This window comes from Homo sapiens, chromosome 16 (assembly GCF_000001405.40).
Source record: "Homo sapiens chromosome 16, GRCh38.p14 Primary Assembly".
Classification (NCBI taxonomy): Eukaryota; Metazoa; Chordata; class Mammalia; order Primates; family Hominidae; genus Homo; species Homo sapiens.
Genome location: NC_000016.10, coordinates 20,806,873 through 20,826,045, shown reverse-complemented (window position 1 = coordinate 20,826,045; position 19,173 = coordinate 20,806,873). Strand labels below are relative to the sequence as shown.

Genomic DNA, 19,173 nt, shown 5'->3' with positions numbered 1-19,173 from the left:
TAAAACCTAACTAAACTGAAGCTGTGGGCCATTCTTAAGTATTATTCCATTCTAGCCCGATAGCTCTTAGAAGAGCTGCAGGCAAGGTGAAAAATACCTGGTGAGGTAGTCCAGAATCTTGTTTTCAGGTTTGACCAGTTCATCCATAACACAGCAGCCTCCTTCAGCAACCAGTGAGATGCGTGTTAGCTCTCTCCCCTTGGATGTGAGGCACTGAAAGACCAACATGTAGTCAGGCTGCTGAACTGTGGAAGTTATTGCTTCTTCTTACTATTTACACTATGTCAACTGCCATCTACTGTAATCTACCAGGGTCCCTGCAGCAATGGCACAAACTTGCTTTCTAGAGGATCTAGTGTGAGTGAAATTAAAGCTGGGCAGGCTGCTGAATGTTACACTTAAGAGGATCAACACAGTGTAGTCTGCACAAAGAAGATGAATGCAAATAATATTAATAATTGTATCTACCATTTATGGAGTGTGTACTATATCCAGTATTATGCTAAATACCACTAATAGGTAATTTTTATGAAGCCCATTCTATTATCAGCTAGTGCTGTACTAAGAATTTTATATATGCCACTCTCATAATTACCTTTTGAGGTAGGCTTTATTATTACCCCCACTTCACAGAGGGAGAAGCCGAGGCTGATAGGTTAGGGGTATTTGTCTAAGGCGACATAGCCACTAACAGGCAAGGACAGGATATACACCCTGATATGTCAGATTCTCAAATTTTAGGTCTTAGTTACTCTATTAAGAATTGAGAAACTGTTTCCTGAGTACTGAGAGGGGATGCACTGTCTTTGAAAAGAGGCTTACTACAATTAGATAAAGCAAAGCACGAGGGGAACTTAAGCAGGGAAATCCTATTTCTGATCTTCAAGGTGTAAAACTAAGCCAAACCAACAATTAAGGCAAAGTCCTCATGGCAGCAACAACAAAATACTTCTTCAAACACAAGGAATCAACTTCTAGCAACATGCAAAGACCTGATTAAACATAGTAACTAGTTGGAAAACGTGATTTTTTTTTTTTGAGATCGAGTCTCACTCTGTCGCCAGGCTGGAGTGCAGTGGCGCTATCTCAGCTCACTGCAACCTCTGCCTACTGGGTTCAAGCGATTCTCCTGCCTCAGCCTCCCGAGTACCTGGGACTACAGGTGCATGCTGCCATGCCCAGCTAATTTTTTGTATTTTTAGTAGAGATGGGGTTTCACCATGTTGGCCAGGATGGTCTTGATCTCCTGACCTCATGATCCACCCGCCTCAGCCTCCCAAAGTGCTGGGATTACAGGTGTGAGCCACGGCACCCAGCCACTTATGTGATATTTATTCTTTATCCTGGAATACAGATCTAAGTTTTCTAAAGTGTGAGTAAAAGGACCTACTTTCAGCTATTAAAACAGAATACTAAAAATGAATGTATTCGTTCATTAGTGCATTAGACTCAAGAAATCATTTTCTACTAGACCTCAGCTTGCAACACTCCAATTGAAAAATTAAAAGTAGTACGTGCCATTTCACAGTCAAGTCCAAAGAGAGGACTATTGTCTGCTATAGAACCATTACATTTGGTAAGTAAAAAGTTTTCACAATCAGGAAAACCTAGGAGAAAAAGGAAGAAAATGTTTGCCTTTAGAATAGAGATGGTAAACATCACTCTTAGATTCAAGCAGGTAAAACTACAATACTAGATATTTTAGTCAGATATGTTGGTATGTTAGACACTTGAAATACAATGACTAAATAAGATACAATCTCTGTCCTCAAGTTTTTCTCCATCTACTCATTTTTATATTGAAAGAATAATGTAGGCTTGCTGTTAGGAGGAGATTCTGGGGCTTGAACTTCCTGGCAGTTACCAAGTAACAATTTTTCCTCCTCATGAGAAAAGAGATAACTAAATCATGGCTAAACCCAAAGTCATTAGGCGCTTTCCATGTCAGCACTAAGAAAGAATGAATAAAGTATGCAAATAACTGTATGTGGCATCTTTCTTTCCTAAATACAGGAAGAGAAAATAGGAATGAGATTCCACCATAATGGAGATCTAAAAGGATTTCATAGTAGGAAGAAAGTTTAAGTAACATTCACCATATGTGTCCCTCCACCCAACTCAACCTGTGAGATTCCTCTGAAACACCTATTCAGAGCCTTGCCTGCATTTTCTGGAATCACATATTTCCTACAGAGGCTCAGCTATAGATTTAAGGTACTCCCTCTATTTGTGAACCCTGAGTCCATAACCATGCATATTTAGCTCAAAAACCCAAAAGCATCTGAATTGTTGAAGATTTCTACCTTCAGGCAGAGGCTGGAGCAGTAAAGGTAACATCTAAATCTTGTTTGACACGGAACAAAGGGGGCTATGCAAACCTTTGACCAATTTCTGATTCCCGGTACTGTGAAATTTCCAACTAATCGCAATGAAAAGAATCAAAAGATGGTCTATCCCAGAGAAGAAAGGCAGCCTCAAATCTCACAGACACTATATTTGCTGCCTACCTTATCTATATTATCAGTGGTGTTTTATAGGTGTTAGCAGTACTGCCCTTACTACGTGCTCATGTGACAGTAGTGCAACCTCAAGAAAAAGATGGTTATAAATATGTTAAAATAAATAGAGAAAAAAGCCATGTATAAAATGGAGTTAAAATTTAGTTCATATATCATAGGACTGCCAGTTAATGTACAAAAAGGCACTTAGTACGGTGCCTGGCACCTATAAAACACGCCTACATCAACTTAAAAAATTAAAAAAATAAAATTTATGCATCCAGAAAATAAGAACTCCAATAATTCCATGATAAAATACAGCCCAATTTAAAAATGGACAAAGGATCTGAATAGACAGTTCTCTGAAGCTATACAAATGACTAATAAGCATGTGAAAAGTTGCTCAAAATCATCAGCCAACAGAAACATGCAAATCAAAATCACAATGAGACACCACTTCATACCCACTAGGATGGATATATTCAGACAAGATAATAGTAAATGTTGGCAAGAATGTGCAGGAACTGGAAACCTCATATGCTGCTGGTGGGAAAGTAAAATGGTACGGCAGCTTTCACAGCCTGACAGTTCCTCAAAAGGTTAAACACAGAGTTGTCACATGACCCAGCAATTATACTCCTAGGTATATACCCAACAGAAATGAAAGCATGTGCCCACACAAAAAACTTGGACCTGAATATTCATAGCAGCATTATTAACTAAAAAGTGGAAACAACCCAAATGTCCATCACCTGATGAACAGTCTATCCAATGCAGTATCATTAAGCAGTGAAAATAAATGTAGTACTGATACATGCTACAACATGGATGAAGCTTGAGAACATTATGCTAAGTTAAAGAAGCCAGTCACAAAGCCCACATATTGCACATCCACTTACAGGAAATACCCAGAATGGGTAAATCTATATATAGAAACTAGATTAACGGTTGTCAAAGGCTCAGGGAGTTGGAGGGAAATTATAATACAGGGTTTCTTTTGGGATGATAGAAGTGTTCTAAAATTGTGGTGATGGCTGTACAACTCTGTGAACATAGTAAAAAATACTTAATTGTAACTTTAAGTGGGTGAATTGTGTGGTATGTTAAATTATATCTGTTTTTAAAAAAGGAAATTTAATTATCATTGCTATAATTAGGAGGTAACAAAGAAAATAAAATGAAATCAAAGTACTTTTATTAAATTCTTGCTATATAATTGACCAAGGCTCCGAGCCTAGACCTGCTCTATTTGTTAAAGAAATATGGGGGCAGTGTGGGAGGAGAATTAGAAGTACTGGAAAAGTGTTAAAATGTTAAAGACATACTGACTGTTTTTAATATATTAAGAAGAAATGAAAGAAAACTGAATGAAAAGGAAAGGGAATAACTTTCTTATTAAATATTATTTCAATGCTATTTAATGTCACATTCATGTACTACCTAAAATCATCACTTTGCCAATCACGGTAGACATCACACACTTTTGAGATACACTGTGCCGAAGATATTTCCTCATTAATAGAAGATGAAATAAGAATAAGCCACTCAGAAAACAGCCAGATAAATGAATCTCAAACAGTAGTATTTAAATAAGCTGTTAGATATTCTTACATTGTTAGCAATATCAGAGTAAGCCTAAGCCAACCTTGTAATGGAAAGTGAAACGTTCTCATTTCCTCCTTTGTCAGAAGGCATCTGGTCAAGCCCACTTTCTTAGAGCCATACTTTTGAATGATGGGATCATCCTGAAGGTTGATGGCGGCTTTTGCATTAGAAGGTAAAGGCCCTGAAAGAAAAACAATTGAACGTATATTAGAATGTGTGTTTAAGAACCCTAGAAGAAATGTCTCCTAAGGTTGTATAGGCTAAGCACAAGGAAGATCAAAAGATGTATAAAACTCAGCCCCAACCATTTAGGGGCTTGCAATCTATTACAATTATAAGAACACAGAAAGGCAGGGTGCAGTGGCTCACGCCTGTAATCCCAGCACTTTGGGAGGCTGAGGCAGGCAGATCACGAGGTCAGGAGATCGAGACCATCCATCCTGGCTAACATGGTGAAACCCTGTCTCTACTAAAAATACAAAAACAAAATTAGCCGGGTGTGGTGGTGGGTGCCTGTAGTCCCAGCTACTTGGGAGGCTGAGGTGGCAGAATGGCGTGAACCCGAGAGGCAGAGCTTGCAGTGAGCCGAGATCGCGCCACTGCACTCCAGCCTGGGCAGCAGAGCGAGACTCCGTCTCAAAACAAACAAACAAAAAAAACACAGAGAAAATGAAGTCCCAAATGAGCTAAAACAGTAAAGGGATAGGAGGAGGAATATACTTCACAATAGAGTGTCAGAGATCAAGAAAGGAAAAGATTGAGTCTTAAAAAAAAGACAGAATTCAGATAGTTGGTATATTCAACCTGTTCTTTACAGTGCCTGTCTCTCCCTTATGGTTCATTCTAGCTAAATATACTCCACCCTCAGCCACCTATTTAAGCAGCAAAAGCTTGTTCTTTAACCAGGGACCATTACTGATTGGATTAAGGGTATGACCTGGCTCAAGAGAGATCATCTATAGATTGACCAATGACTTGATATTCCTTATCAAGACATGTTCTCAGAGGGAAAATCTTAAGTAGTTAAGTTCATCAGACCGCCTGCTTTAAGGATTTTCACTAAAAAATATAAAGAACTGGGCTAGGTACAGTGGCTCACACCTGTAATTCCAGCACTTTGGGAGGCTGAGGTAGGTGGAACCCTTGAGGTCAGGAGTTCAAGACCAGCCTGGCCAACATGGTGAAACCCCATCTCTACTAAAAACACAAAAATTAGCCAGGTGTAGTGGCATGCACCTGTAATTCCACCTATTCAGGAGGCTAAGGCACAAGAATTGCTTGAACTCGGGAGGCAGAGGTTGCAGTGAGCAGAGATTGTGCCACTGCACTCCTGCCTGGGCAACAGAGCGAGGCTCTGTCTCAAAAAAAAAAAAAAAAAAAAAAAAAAAAAAAAAAAAATATATATATATATATATATATATATATATATAAAGAGAGAGAACTGACTAGTCAGAAGAGAAAAGAAAATACACAGATAAGTAGATGCTATGAAAGGGTTGGAGAAAATCTTTTTACTAGGGGCACTTAGGTTCCTGCTGGCTTTCTACCCACATACATCCTTCTTCAAACAATATTTGCTCAAGATGACCTAAGTGAGTAGCTGATCCTTGTAAAGAAAATAGCCAAAGTATCATAAGTAGAAGAGGACATTCCAGGCAAGACAGAAATGTAGAGTAAACTTGGTTTGTCAGTAGACCAGTAATGAAGAAAGAAAGGTCTGTGCAAGAGATGAGCATAGGAAACAAAGTTGAGACAGGAGCATAATTAACTTTCGTCCACCATTCAATACGTAATGGGGAGCCACAAAAAGCTCCTGAGAACGGAAGTGATGTAATTAAAGCAGTGTTTTAAGAAACATCAACCTCAAAGATTTGTAAAAAATGGAGTAGAGGCTGGGTGCATGGCATGCCTGTAATCCCAGCAATTTGGGAGGCCAAGGCAAGAGGATTGCTTGAGTCCAGGAGTTTGAGACCACCCTAGGCAACGGAGCAAGACCCAGTCTCTACAAAAACAAAAATTAGCCAGGCATGGTAGTGCATAACTGCAAGTCTTAGCTACTCAGGAGGCTGAGGCAGGAGGATCGCTTGAATGTAGGAGTTTGAGACTGCAGTGAGCTTAGATTGTACCACTGCACTTTAGCCTGGGCAACAGAGGGAGATCCTGACTCTAAATTTTTTTTTTTTTTTGGAGACGGAGTTTCGCTCTTGTTGCCCAGGCTGGAGTGCAATGGCGCGATCTCGGCTCACTGTAACCTCTGCCTCCCAGGTTCAGATGATTCTCCTGCCTCAGCCTCCTGAGTAGCTGGGATTACAGGCATGTACCACCACGCCCGGCTAATTTTGTATTTTTAGTAGAGATGGGATTTCTCCATGTTGGTCAGGCTGGTCTCCAACTCCCGACCTCAGGTGATCCACCTGCCTCAGCCTCCCAAAGTGCTGGGATTATAGGTGTGAGCCACTGCGCCCAGCCTAAATTTAAAAAAAAAAAAAAAAAAAGGAGGAAAGAAAGAAAGAAAAGAAAGGAAGGAAAGGAAAGGAAAAGAAAGGAAAGGAAAGGAAAGAAATGAAGAAAGAAAGAAAGCGAAGTAGAAAGAGGCTAGAAAGGGCTTTACAATAATTCTGGCCAAAAAATTATGAGCATCTGCTAGGGGCAGAAATACCATTTGAGCCAGCAATCATGTTACTGGGTATATTCTAAAGGAATATAAATCATTCTATTATAAAGATATGCGCAGGTGGAAAAGACATGGTATCAACCCAAATGCCCATAAATGATAGATCAGATAAAAAAAAATGTGGTACATATACACCATGGAATACTATGCAGCCACAAAAAGGAACAAGACCATGTCCTTTGCAGGGACATGGATGGAACTGGAAGCCATTATTCTCAGCAAATGCAGAAACAGAAAACCAAACAACACCATGTTCTCACTTATAAGAGGGAGCTGAATGATGAAAACACATGGACACATGACAACACACATTTGGGGTTGTCAGAGGGGTTGGTGGAGGTAAAGCATCAGGAAGAATAGTTAATGGAGGCTGAGCTTAATACCTAGGTGATTGGCTGATCTGTGTAGTAAACCACTACAGCACACATTTACCTATGTAACAAACCTACACATCCTGCACATGTACCCAGGAACTTAAAATAAATGTTGATGAAAAAAGGCCAAGTGCAGTGGCTCACGCCTGTACTTTCAGCATTTTAAGAGGCTGAGGCAGGTGGATCACTTGAGGCCAAGCGTTCAATACCAGCCTGGCCAAACATGGTGAAACTCTGTCGTTACTAAAAATACAAAAATTAGCTGGTATGGTGGTGCACGCCTGTAGTCCCAGCTACTCAGGAGGCTGAGAGGCACAAAAATCGCTTGAACCCAGGTGGCAGAGGTTGCAGTGAACTGGGATCATCCCACTGCACTCCAGCCTCAGCGACAGAGCGAGACTCTGTTTCAAAAAGAAGTTGTTACAGCATCTGAATTAAGATAGTGGAAGCTATGGAGAAAAAGGGATATATAAAACATACATGAAAAACTGGTAGAACATGGTGAAAAAATTATTCAGCCAGCAAAATATTTAAATATTTATAACTTTATTATGTAGCCGGCACTGTTTTGGCCACTAGGAATTCCCCAATGCACAAAACCAACAAAATTCCTCATGACATTTAACTTATAGTTGGAAATATGGATAATAAACAAATAAATACGTAATATATCAGGTAAGATAAGGGCTTTGAAGAAAAGGAGGAGAAAAGTATAGGAAATATTGGGGCAGGGAAAGGGTTACTGTCATATATTTTGTATAGGATGAGCTGAGAAGGTCTCTGTTAAATTGACATCTGAATAGAGATTTATAGGAGCAAAGGGAATTAGGCATGCAGACAGTTTGGGGATAGGGAGCCAAAAGAAAACTGTAAAATTCAACACTGGTGTCTTAGAGAAAAATGACACCAACAAGAGGGAATATGAAGAGACCATTATTTGAGGATGAGAAAAACGCATTTAGCTATGTTATGACTGAGGACAGTAGAATATCCAAATAGCAATTGGAATATTCAGCAGGCAGTTGAGAATGCAGGCCTGCAATCTGGGGCATCAGACCTAGAGATAAAGATACAGGAGTCATTCAAAGAAAACTAATAGGTAAACTTGGCAAGAACAGATGAATGCTCCGAAGGAAAGACTGATTAACGAAGATCAGAGTGCGAGGGACTATGCCTTGGGGACTCTGATATTTAGCACTGGAAAATGAAGTGAAATACTTAGGAGGATGGAGAAGTTGCCCTAACCTCTCTGGCTCCTCAAGGCCTACAGAATAAAATCCAAATTCTTTTGGCATGACATTCAAAGCCTGTAGGTTGTCTCTCCGTGGCTGGTACAGAATATAAAAATAAAACATAAAATAAAAACAAAGCCTGCAGGATATGGCTTTAATCTGCCTTTCCAGCTTTGTCTCTCATCACCACCTCCTCCTATTCTTCTCAGCATGTCCAACAAGCTGTACTCTTCAAACATGTCAGATTTCTTTTTCCTGATTACATCTTTTCTTTTGCAACGTGATGCTTTTACTTGAACCTAGAATCTCATAATGATTACTCTGTGATTTAATCACAGATGTTTAAAATACAGTGCAAATCAAATCAAATACAATTGCAGATCAAAAATGGGCATCCATGAGAAGAAGAGAACAACAGAAAGATAGAAAATTAGAAGTGGGGATTAGGACAGAGGATAATGCAAGCACATTTCTAGAGGAGATAAGAAATCAAGTTACTCCTCACTACTTTTTCATGTTCCCTCAGTGCAATTATTCAATTAATTATTTCTGAACACAAAATAGAGTATCATTGAACAATACCTAACCTTACTATATGCAACTAACTCTGATAAGTCCTATACTACTCTATCACTCACCTTCCTGCAAAACCAAAAAGATTACTTATAACTTACCAATAGGACACAACCCACAGTTTGAAAAACACACTGCTATCATGAATCTTTCAGCTGGCTAGTATCTAAACCTCCTGCCTATTCTTCACTGTGAGTAGTATCAGCAGGTATCCCTTATATTAGTCAAAGGCAAGATCTTCCTTCCCACCTGTACACTGGTGGGTACAAAGACCCAGTGACAGTTTAGAAATTATTCACAGTAATTCATAAGAGTCCAACATCAGTGATACCCAGGTATCCTTAGCTATCTAACCAGATTGTTTCTGAGACATGAACCCTGGCTGTGGTTCCTGCTATCTAACTTCCCTGAGTACCTGCCCATTTTTCCTTAAAAAAACTGTTTTTGTGGCCCAGGTATGGTGGCTCATGCCTATAATCCCCACACTTTGGGAAGCCAAGGTGGGAAGATCACTTGAGCTCAGGAGTTTGAGACCAGCCTGGGCAGCACAGTGGAGCCCCGTTTCTCAAAACAAACAAACAAACAAACAAACAAAATTAGCTGGGGATGTGGCCTGTGCTGGTAGTTCCCCAGCTACTCAGGAGGCTGAGGTGGAAGGACTGCTTGAGTCTGGGAGGTCAAGGCTGCAGTGAGCCGTGTGATCACGCCACTGCACTCACACCTGGGTGACAAGAGTGAGACCCCCGTTTCAAAAAAAAAAAAAATTGTTTTTGTGCTTAAGCTAGTTAGAATTGAGTTTTGTTGTGCTAAACCTACTTACAATCATATCCGTATCTTTTAGAGTGAGCAAAGCATCAAACCAGCATCATAGCTATACCTTCCATTGTCTTGGGCAGATCTCCAGCTCTTTGTTCAGTTTGTAGCCCAACAACATCAGCTAGAAAATCAGATGATGGTGGAGGCAAGCGGAATTTCTGAAAATATATTAACAGGTTTTACAAAAATGGTTGAAAACAGCTAAAATACTGTGAAAGGCCTGGACTTTTATTGTCACCTCAGTGCTTTGAAAGTTCTAGACAGTAATTGTTAGCATTTTAAAATAAGAACTGTTTCCTTAATATAGAAAAGTGACTAAGTAAATGAAGCCACACAACACTAACTGATCCCTATGATTATATATTGTAAAATAGACAAACTTTACAGAAATATACAACTTAGACAAGAAAAGTCCCTTTGTATTTTCAAAGTTCTTCCAAATCTATTATTTCATTGGAAAGCATGCCATTGCCATCAGAATAGATGGTATCACACGGCAAAAAGGTTGAGAGCTTCAGCTTCAGGTTCACCTGGGCTTAAATTTCAGCCCTACCACTTACTAGCTGGAACTCGGGCAAGTTACTCAGTTTCTCATGTACAAAATGGAAATTAAAAAGTATCTATTTTATAAGACTATTGTGATAATTAAAGATGATACGTGTAGCAGGTGGTCCGTGGTTAATAGAGAGCCTGATACACAGGAAGTGCTCAATAAATGAAAGCAAAAAAAATGGTGACCCAGGGAGGTTAAATTAGGGCTCACCAACTCAAATGCCTTCAGGAATAAATGGATGAAATGGGTCACTAGGAAATGGAAGAGGCTACGGGAAAATGGACAGCAGGTGCCTCTTTTTAAAGATGACAACTGCTATTCAGTTCCATATACTGTTTTAAGGGTGCCCAATCTTGCGATTTTTTTAAAGAGAGGTAGAAAACTCAGCTTGTATTATATTTTACAATTTCTGAAAACACCATAGCCCAAATAAAATAGAACAATATCAACCTAGGAGCTACAGATTATAACCTGGGAATAAGAGTTTGCCTAGATTTCCAAAGAAAATCAGAGACAAATCTACATGAGGCCTCTAAGGTCTTTTTGCTTTCTATATCCCCTACTGTTTGTTCAGTTAGGTTGCCAAGGAGCATGGTCCCTGACACATGTATTAGTCTCAGAATGGGAAAACAGACTCAGCCCCTAGTACAAAGTATTCTTAACTTACATGTCTGAATGCTTTTCGAAGACATCCAAACTCCAAATAGAACCTGTAAAAGTGTAGCTGACTCATTCCCTGCAGAACAAAAACCACTACGTTGTTTAGGTGGTTTTGATGAAAAAGCTGGCACCAGCTGCCAAGAAATCAAACCAACACAGTTAAGACAGATGGCCTTAAGTCAGTTACAGTCATATAGAGGGGAAATAGGGGAGAAGGCGCAGGAAAAGCAGTGAGTGAGAGTTAATAGAATTTATCACCATTCACCGTCTGCCTGGAACTGGAAGACAGCCATTATTGCACAGAATTCAAATAAAGATCCCTAGAGATAAATACTTGTTGTATTCAAATCCAGTAAAATACCAAGCAAAATGCAATGCATTTAAATTCACAGTCCTATTAAGGTTTGTTTGGAATCAGAACTAAGCTCACTTTACAAAGTCATCCCTAAGATACCAACCTACTCTGCGGTCCTTCCTAAACCAGGGAATCAAATGGCTGGCTTTAAGAAATTCAGTTTTCGCTGGGCACGGTGACTCACGCCTGTAATCCCAGCACTTTGGGAGGCCGAGGCAGGTGGATGACTTGAGGTCAGGAGTTCAAGACCAACCTGGGCAACATGGCGAAACCCCATCTCTACTAAAAAAAATACAAAAAAATTAGCTGGGCCTGGTTGTATGAGCCTACAATCCTAGCTACTCTGGAGGCTGAGGCAAGAGGATCACTTGAACCTGGGAGGTGGAGGTTGCATTGAGCGGAGATCGTGCCACTGCACTCCAGCCTAGGTGACAGAGCGAGGCTCCATCCCCCACCAAAAAAATGTCAAATCCTGCTCCACCCATTTTTGTAAATAAGACTATTGAACTACAGTCATGCTTATTTGTCTATGTGTTATGTATGGCTGCTTTGGGCTACAATGGCCAAGTTGGGTAGTTGCAATAGAGACATAAAACCTACCAAAAAAAAAAAAAAACAGTTTTAGATAAACTGACAGACTGATGGCTGTAATTGTTGATGGAGAAGACAGTTCTCGAAGTAGCTAGCCAATTCATAACAACCTCCCCCAGAAAGACGTGTGTATTATTTGCATACATACAAAATATTTTTCATAAGACACTTAATAATGGCACCAACAATATCAGAACAGTAAGATTCTCTTTTTTTTTTGTAGGGCCTGAGTCTCGCTATGTTGCCCAGGCTGGTCTCAGACTCTGGGACTCAAGTGATCCTCACACCTTGGCCTCCCAAAGTGCTGGGATTATAACTGTGAGCCACTATGCCGGGGCTCTCTTTGCCTTTTATTTGTAAAAGAAAGAAAAAAGATTAACTGGAATTCTTCACAGATCATTGTTATTTCAGCTGAGTCTGCAACACGGGAAACAAACTAAAATATCTATAGTAGCCAGACAGATACTGTAAATATGGGAAGCAGGCCAGGTAGGACATTGTAGTATACATGTCCCATATAAAGGGGGAGACCACCACTCAGCTTTGACAAATTATTGCCATGTGGGAATATAGGGATAGCTGCCATCTTTGAGTTTTTGGAAGAAGAAAATGTAGATTTTTATATAGGAATTTCCAGAATTAACACTTGGCAGCCATCATAAAAAATTCAGGACATGCTGCATAGCAAAAAAATACTGTCGATAAGCCAGTTTGAAACCTCTGGTTTGAATGATGGAGCTTGGGAGAGGTAAAAAAAAAAAAAAAAAAAAGAAACCGCTGGTCAATACCCACCATTTAAATTCATCTCATACCTGGGTTTTGGAACATTGGATTTGCCCAGAACTGCATACTTCAGCAATTCACACAGCTGGTCATGGGTTACTTCACAGTTGTCAGTAAATAAAATGGTAGATAAGCGGGCTTTCTGCAAAGATTAATCAGGGCGTAGCAAGCCATTATTGGTTATCAAGAATACCAACAAAGCAAGTTAAATTATTCTAGCTTCTGATTACTTTAACATACAGGTATATTCTAACATAAGGAAGTGCTAATTAATTGAAAATGATGGCCTAAAATAACAATATGTGGTAGGTATGACATTATTAATAAAGTAATTATCATTGACACAAAACTGAATTATAGATACTTGGTTACATGCTAGGAATAGGATAAATAAAGCATAATTCATGCTCTCAAAGAGTCCATTCTACTAGGGAGAGAAAGCAATAGCTAATTCCAACACAGTGTGGGTAAGTGCTATTACAAAGCTATGAGAACAAGGAGTCTAACTGCCTTAGGGGTTAGAGAGTTTGGGGAAGGCTACTGAGATGAAAATACTGAGGCTGAGCCTTGAAAACAATGCCATGTTGGAGGGAACATCGCATTCAACATGTAGTATGGTTTGGCAAGGAGCCAGGATTGCATGTTGCATAGTAGTGGAGGTATGAGGAGAGGGAAGCAGGAGCCAGATCATAGATCAATGCGGCCTAAGCTAATGAATCAGAATTTATCCCCTGGGCAACAAGAGTTCAGCAAAGCTCCCAACCCCTTTAAAAAGGCTTTGAACTTATACTTGTTTTTTTCTTTTCTGAGACAGAGTCTCACTCTGTCACCCAGGATGGAGTACAGTGGCGCTATCTTTGCTCACTACAACCTCTGCCTCCCAGGCTCAAGCGATCCTCCTGCCTCAGTGTCCTGAGTAGCTGGGACCACAGATGTATGCCACCACACCTGGCTAATTTTTTTTGTATTTTTGGTAGAGATGAGTTTTTACCATGTTGCCCAGGCTGGTCTCGAGCTCCTGAGCTCAAGCGATCTGCTCTCCTCAGCCTCCCAAAGTGCTGGGATTACAAGCATGAGCCACCACGCCCGGCCTATAGTCACCACGCCCAGCCTATATTTGTTTAATAAAGTAATTCGTGTTTGTTACAAAAGACTCATTAACAGAGAATTGTAAAATAAATGATACAGAGAAACGAAAATAAAAGTCACCTCAGAGATAATTAAAATAAAAGTACAACTTAGAGGTAATCACCACTTTCGTTTTGGTCTGCGAGGCAGCAGAGCATAGCGGTTAGAAGCTCAAGCCCTAGTCATACTACCTGAGTTCAAACACCAGGCTTGGACCAGTGCCATAGCCTTGGACCATCATCATCATCTTGGACCAGTGCCATAGCCTTTCTAAGACTCAGTTTCCTCATCTAGAGAGTAATTATAATTTTATCTCATTAAATAATTGGGAGGACCAATGAAATAGTTCAAGTACAATGTACTGAGGCTAGTACCTGACATAAGTACTTAATAAACATTAGATATTATTGCTAATGTATTCCCATGGCCTTAAGCTAATGTTAAACTCTTACATTAGCGAAACACAGTTCTGATCATTTTACATGCATTAAATCATTTAATTCTCACAACTTTGTAAGTGTGTACTACTATCATCCCCATTTTACAGATAAATTGGAGAGACAGATAAATGATAGAACCAAGACTGGAATGCAGGCTTATCTCTATACTATACAGCCCGCAGTGGATTTTATCAATCATTCTTTTTTGAAACCAACTCCCTACTCCCGAACTTAAGCTGTATCTTTCCATATCAGTTAAAAAAAATCAATTTTAATACTTGAATAATAGTCCATTTTCTAAATTTACCTGAAAATTTATAATATATCTGAAAAACATTCCCTATTGATAACACTGGTTTTTTAAATTACAAACAACATTATGATGAACATCCTTGTACAGACACCTTTGTACATCTATCTACTTTCTTAGGATCAATTCCTGGTTCAAATGAACTCCTGAAAGAATATGCCAGTTTGTTTTTACCAAATAAAAACATGAGATTAATAAGGTGAGACTGAGCAAGATGGAGTCTATATGGCGGTGAGTAACCCTGGTTGCCAGGCATGGGATGTCAAGAGCCTGAGTTGGGTGAGGAAGGTGTCCTGTAGAGGAGACAGTCCAGGACTAGGAGCAGAAGCTGAGGACATTCATGCAGGAGGGTGCTCTGGTGTGGGGTGTCAAAGCCTCAGCAGCACAAGGACGTCACCCATACAGGAAGGAAGGGAGGGCAGTGAGTCCTGACATCAGATGTCAGAAACTATTTAGGGTAAGGAGGGCATCAATGCTGAGGGACAGTAGTGGCCTGTTGCAGGGTTTAAAGCCTGAACAGGATGAGGGTATAAACCTGAGAGGGATGGTGGCAGCCACCTGTCATAGGATGAGGGTGCTCACAAAGGAAGATGACCTGGTACAAGGTGATGGAGCCAGTGCAGGGTGACAGAGCCTAAGCAGAGTCAAGAGGGTGTGAGGGTGGGTCAGCGGCAGCAATAAGGATTGATCAAATATACTGAAGATGTTGGGTGTCGGGTTTCTCATTGTTAGTGAAGGAAGTTACAAATATGAAAATGGACTGGGCGCGGTGGTTCACGCCTGTAATCCCAACACTTTGCGAAGCCGAGGTGGGCAGATCACTTGAGGTCATGAATTTGAGACCAGCCAACATGGTCAAACGCCATCTCCACTAAATGTACAAAAATTAGCCAGGCGTGGTGGTGGGTGCCTGTAATCCCAGCTACTCAGGAGGCTGAGGTAGGAGAATCGCTGGGAGGGAGAGGTTGCAATGAGCAGAGATCATGCCACTGCACTCCAGCCTGGGTGACAGGGCAAGACTTTTGTCTCAAAAGAAAAAAAAAAAGGAGAAAACTAGAATGAATAGAATGAACCCTGTATTACTGGATTTGGATTAAAGTGGAGATACTGATGTGAATTCACATAAGTAAAATACAGAAAAATATTTAAATGTAAGTATGTGTGTGTGTATACACTTTCAACTTACAAAATTTTCAATTTACGATGGATTTATTGGGACGTAATCTTATTTTAAGTGAAGAAGCATCTGTATTAACATCACCATAGCACCCAAATCTAAATATCATTCTACACTAAAAAGAACCAGGTACCCTAAGAGAAATGACTGATTCCAGGCTTGGGGCAGGGAAAGCACATATGAGCCTGGAATATCTTCTTGTGCCAGAAAGTAATGACATGCTCAAAGAATGATGTTGTCATGTCAAAAGGCCACAGAAGCTAGCTTAATGACAAAATCTTGGATATTTAAAGCATCACAATCCAGTAAAAGATAGTAACACACTGAACAAAATAGGTACCACTGAGTTCATCATACTGATAAAAAAGTAAATGCATAAGCCCAAAGTGTTTGAGGAAGCACATTACAGACAGCTGGGAGCAGTGGCTTGGGCCTGTAACCTCAGCTACACTGAGGCTGAGGTGGGAGGATTGCTTTAGCCCAGGAATTCCAGACTAGCCTGGGCAATATAGCAAGATCCTGTCTCAAAAAAATAAGAATGAAAATTACACAGAGAAAAAGATAACTTTAGAGAACTTTAGTAGAAACTATCTTAATCTAGTTATCAAGGTTAATATCACCAATAATGGGACAAATCAAATTGTGTACAATCTGCAAGGGAGCAGAGTATCACTCCTGTGATATTCCTGCTAAAGATGTATATAACCTGAATCTAATCAATGAAGAAACAGACAAATCTAATTTAAGGGACATTCAACAAAATAATTGGCCCAGGATTATTCAAATGCAGTAAAGTCATGAATATCAAGGGAAGACTAAGGAACTGTTTGATGGAGACATGACAATTAAATTTAACACAATTCTAGACTGGATCTTATTGCTAAAAAGCGTTATTCAAACAACTACAGAAAATTTGGATGGCATCTGAGGAGTAGATGGTCATGATATATCCATGGTAATTTCCAATTTTGATGGTTGCATTGTGATTATGTAGGTTTATAGAGAATATATAATAAAATATCTTGAGGGTGGGTAGAAAAAGACCATTGTGTCAGCAACTACTTTCAAATGTTGGTTGAGGGGAGGTTTTGATACTATTCTTACAACTTTTCTAAAAGTTTGAGATTGTTTCAACATAACAAAATATGTGATTGTCAATCTCCTTACACTAACCACATAAACATTAAACATTTTTTTGCAAATTTGATAGGCAAAAAAACTGGAATCCCACTTTAATAAAAAAAATTTTCAGCTGGGTGCAGTGGCTCACACATGTAATCCCCAGCACTATGGGAGGCTGAGGCAGGTGAATCTCCTGATCCCAGGAGTTGGAGACCCTGTCTCTCTTTAAAAAAAAACAAACGAAAAAAAAACAAAAAAAAGCAGTGGCTCATGCCTGTAATCCCAGAACTTGCAGAGGCCAAGGTGGACAGATCGCTTAAGTCCAGGAGTTCAAGACCAGCCTGGGCAACATGGCAAAACCCCGTCTCTACAAAAAAAAGAAAAATTAGCTGGCACAGTGGCACACATCTGTAGTCCCATCTAATTGGTGGAACTGAGGTGGGAGGATCACTTCAACCTGGGAGGCAAAAGTTGCAGTGAGCCAAATCCAGCCTGGGCAACAGAGGGAGACTCCACCTCAAAAAAAAAAAAAAAAAAAAAAATCACATCCCTAATCCCTCTCTCACATATTATAACTTATTTTTATCATTTGTCTCTGCCCACTAGAATATAAGACCTACTAGGGCAGTGAACTTGATTCACTGATGTACCCCAAGCACCTAGGTCAGTGCCCCAGCACATGGCAGACAATAAAAACCAATGAATAGCTGGGTGCAGTGGCTCATGCCTGTAAGAGGCAGAGACAGGAGGATCCTTGTCACACCACTGTAGTCCAGCCTGAGTCCAGCAGAGCAGAGACCCTGTCTCAAACACAAAAACAAACAAAAAAGCCCAATGAACGACTGAAGGGATGAATGAAGTATATTTAGTTCTCAGTAAATGGTAAGGATGATAGGGATAATCAGCCTTTTTATTCCCCTATTGCAGCGGTCCCCAACCGTTGGCACCAGGGACCGGTTTCGTGTTAGATAATCTTTCCACTGACTGGGAGAAGGGCTGGGGGGATGGTTTCGGGGTGATTCAAGTGCATTACATTTATCATTAGAGTCTCATAAGCAGCATGCCACCTAGGACCCTCGTATGCAAAGTTCACAATAGGGCTCACAATAGGTTTGGCACATTCCTATGAGAATCTAATGCCTAGGTGGAGCTCAGGGGGTAACGTTCTATCGGCCACCGCTCACCTCCTGCTGCTTTGTGGCCCGGTTCCTAACAGGCCAGCTGTGGACAGTGGGTTGGGGACCCCATGGACAGGCAGGTACTAGTCTGTGCACAGGGGGTTGGGGACCCCCGCCCTACTGGAATGTAAACTGCACGAGGGCAAGGAATTGTATTTTTGTGCCCCAGGATATCGATGAACATTCCTATTATGTACAGGCAGTTTTTTTTTTGTTTTGTTTTTTGTTTTTTTTTTTTAAGAGATGGGGTCCTTGCTATATTGCCCAGGCTGGTCTTGAATTCCTGGCCTCAAATGATGCTCCCGCCTTGGCCTCCCAAACTGCTGGGATTACAGGCGTGAGCCACTGCACCCGGCCCACCATCCCAGTTTTTTTTTTTTTTTTTTTTTTTCTGAGACGTGATTTCTTTCTTGTTGTCCAGGGTGGAGTGTAATGGCGTGGTCTTGGCTCATTGCAACCTCTGGTTCCTGGGTTCTAGCGATTCTCCTGCCTCAGCCTCCCAAGTAGGTGGGATTACAGTCACCCACTACCACGCCTGGCTAATTTTGTGTGTGTGTTTTTGGTAGAGACGGGGATTTCTCCATGTTGACAAGGCTGGTCTCGAACTCCTGACCTCGTGATCCGCCCGCCTCGGCCTCCCAAAGTGCTGGAATTACAGGCATGAGCCACCGCACTCGGCCGACTCACTATCCCAGTGACAGCCAATGACAGCCTTGTTGCAGGAAGGTGGTATTACACTCATTCCCATTTTAATGATCAGGGATCAGGTTCGGAGAGGCCAGGGCGGAGAGCCCGCCCGAATCCAGTGCCCCCGACGGCGGTTGGGCGAGGGTCCGGGAGCTCCAAACCGCCTAGGGCCGCCTGCTCGGGATCCCCGTTGCTCACCTTGGCCTCGGGCTGACTCTCCTCGAGATCCCAACCGGCTTTCATCGCCTCAGCTGCCCCGACCAGCTTATTTGGGGCCTGCCTGCTTTCCCTGACCTTCCTGGGGTGTCTCTCGGTCCCTTCCCTCTCTGGCTCCATGGCTGTGGAGAAAGATGAGGTAGAGCTGGGGAAACTCCAGCGCCCCTATTCCCCCGCGTGCCGCCTCCTAGCGGGAGAGCT

General features: G+C 41.0%; 1 protein-coding gene across 11 annotated transcripts in view, besides 1 other annotated feature; it reads right to left on the bottom strand.

Moving 5' to 3' along the window:
• Nucleotides 1-19,173, bottom strand: part of REXO5 (RNA exonuclease 5) — a 43,241-nt gene that overhangs the window by 23,620 nt on the left and 448 nt on the right. For all 11 annotated transcript variants that reach the window (XM_011545963.3, NM_001199053.2, XM_047434726.1 and 8 more), the window contains exons 2-8: nt 18,955-19,094; nt 12,744-12,856; nt 10,993-11,119; nt 9,834-9,930; nt 4,144-4,284; nt 1,519-1,607; nt 98-213 (exon numbers count right to left, since the gene is read on the bottom strand). In XM_011545963.3, coding sequence (XP_011544265.1) covers nt 98-213; nt 1,519-1,607; nt 4,144-4,284; nt 9,834-9,930; nt 10,993-11,119; nt 12,744-12,856; nt 18,955-19,092 — 821 coding nt within the window. In that variant the 5' untranslated portion in view covers nt 19,093-19,094. The remainder of the gene's footprint in view (nt 1-97; nt 214-1,518; nt 1,608-4,143; nt 4,285-9,833; nt 9,931-10,992; nt 11,120-12,743; nt 12,857-18,954; nt 19,095-19,173) is intronic.
• Nucleotides 18,715-18,854: an enhancer, noted in NCBI's record as "active region_10541". NCBI's record gives its function as "activates an Ori minimal core promoter by ATAC-STARR-seq in GM12878 lymphoblastoid cells {active_cell/tissue: GM12878}" and the evidence as "EXISTENCE:reporter gene assay evidence [ECO:0000049][PMID:35858748]".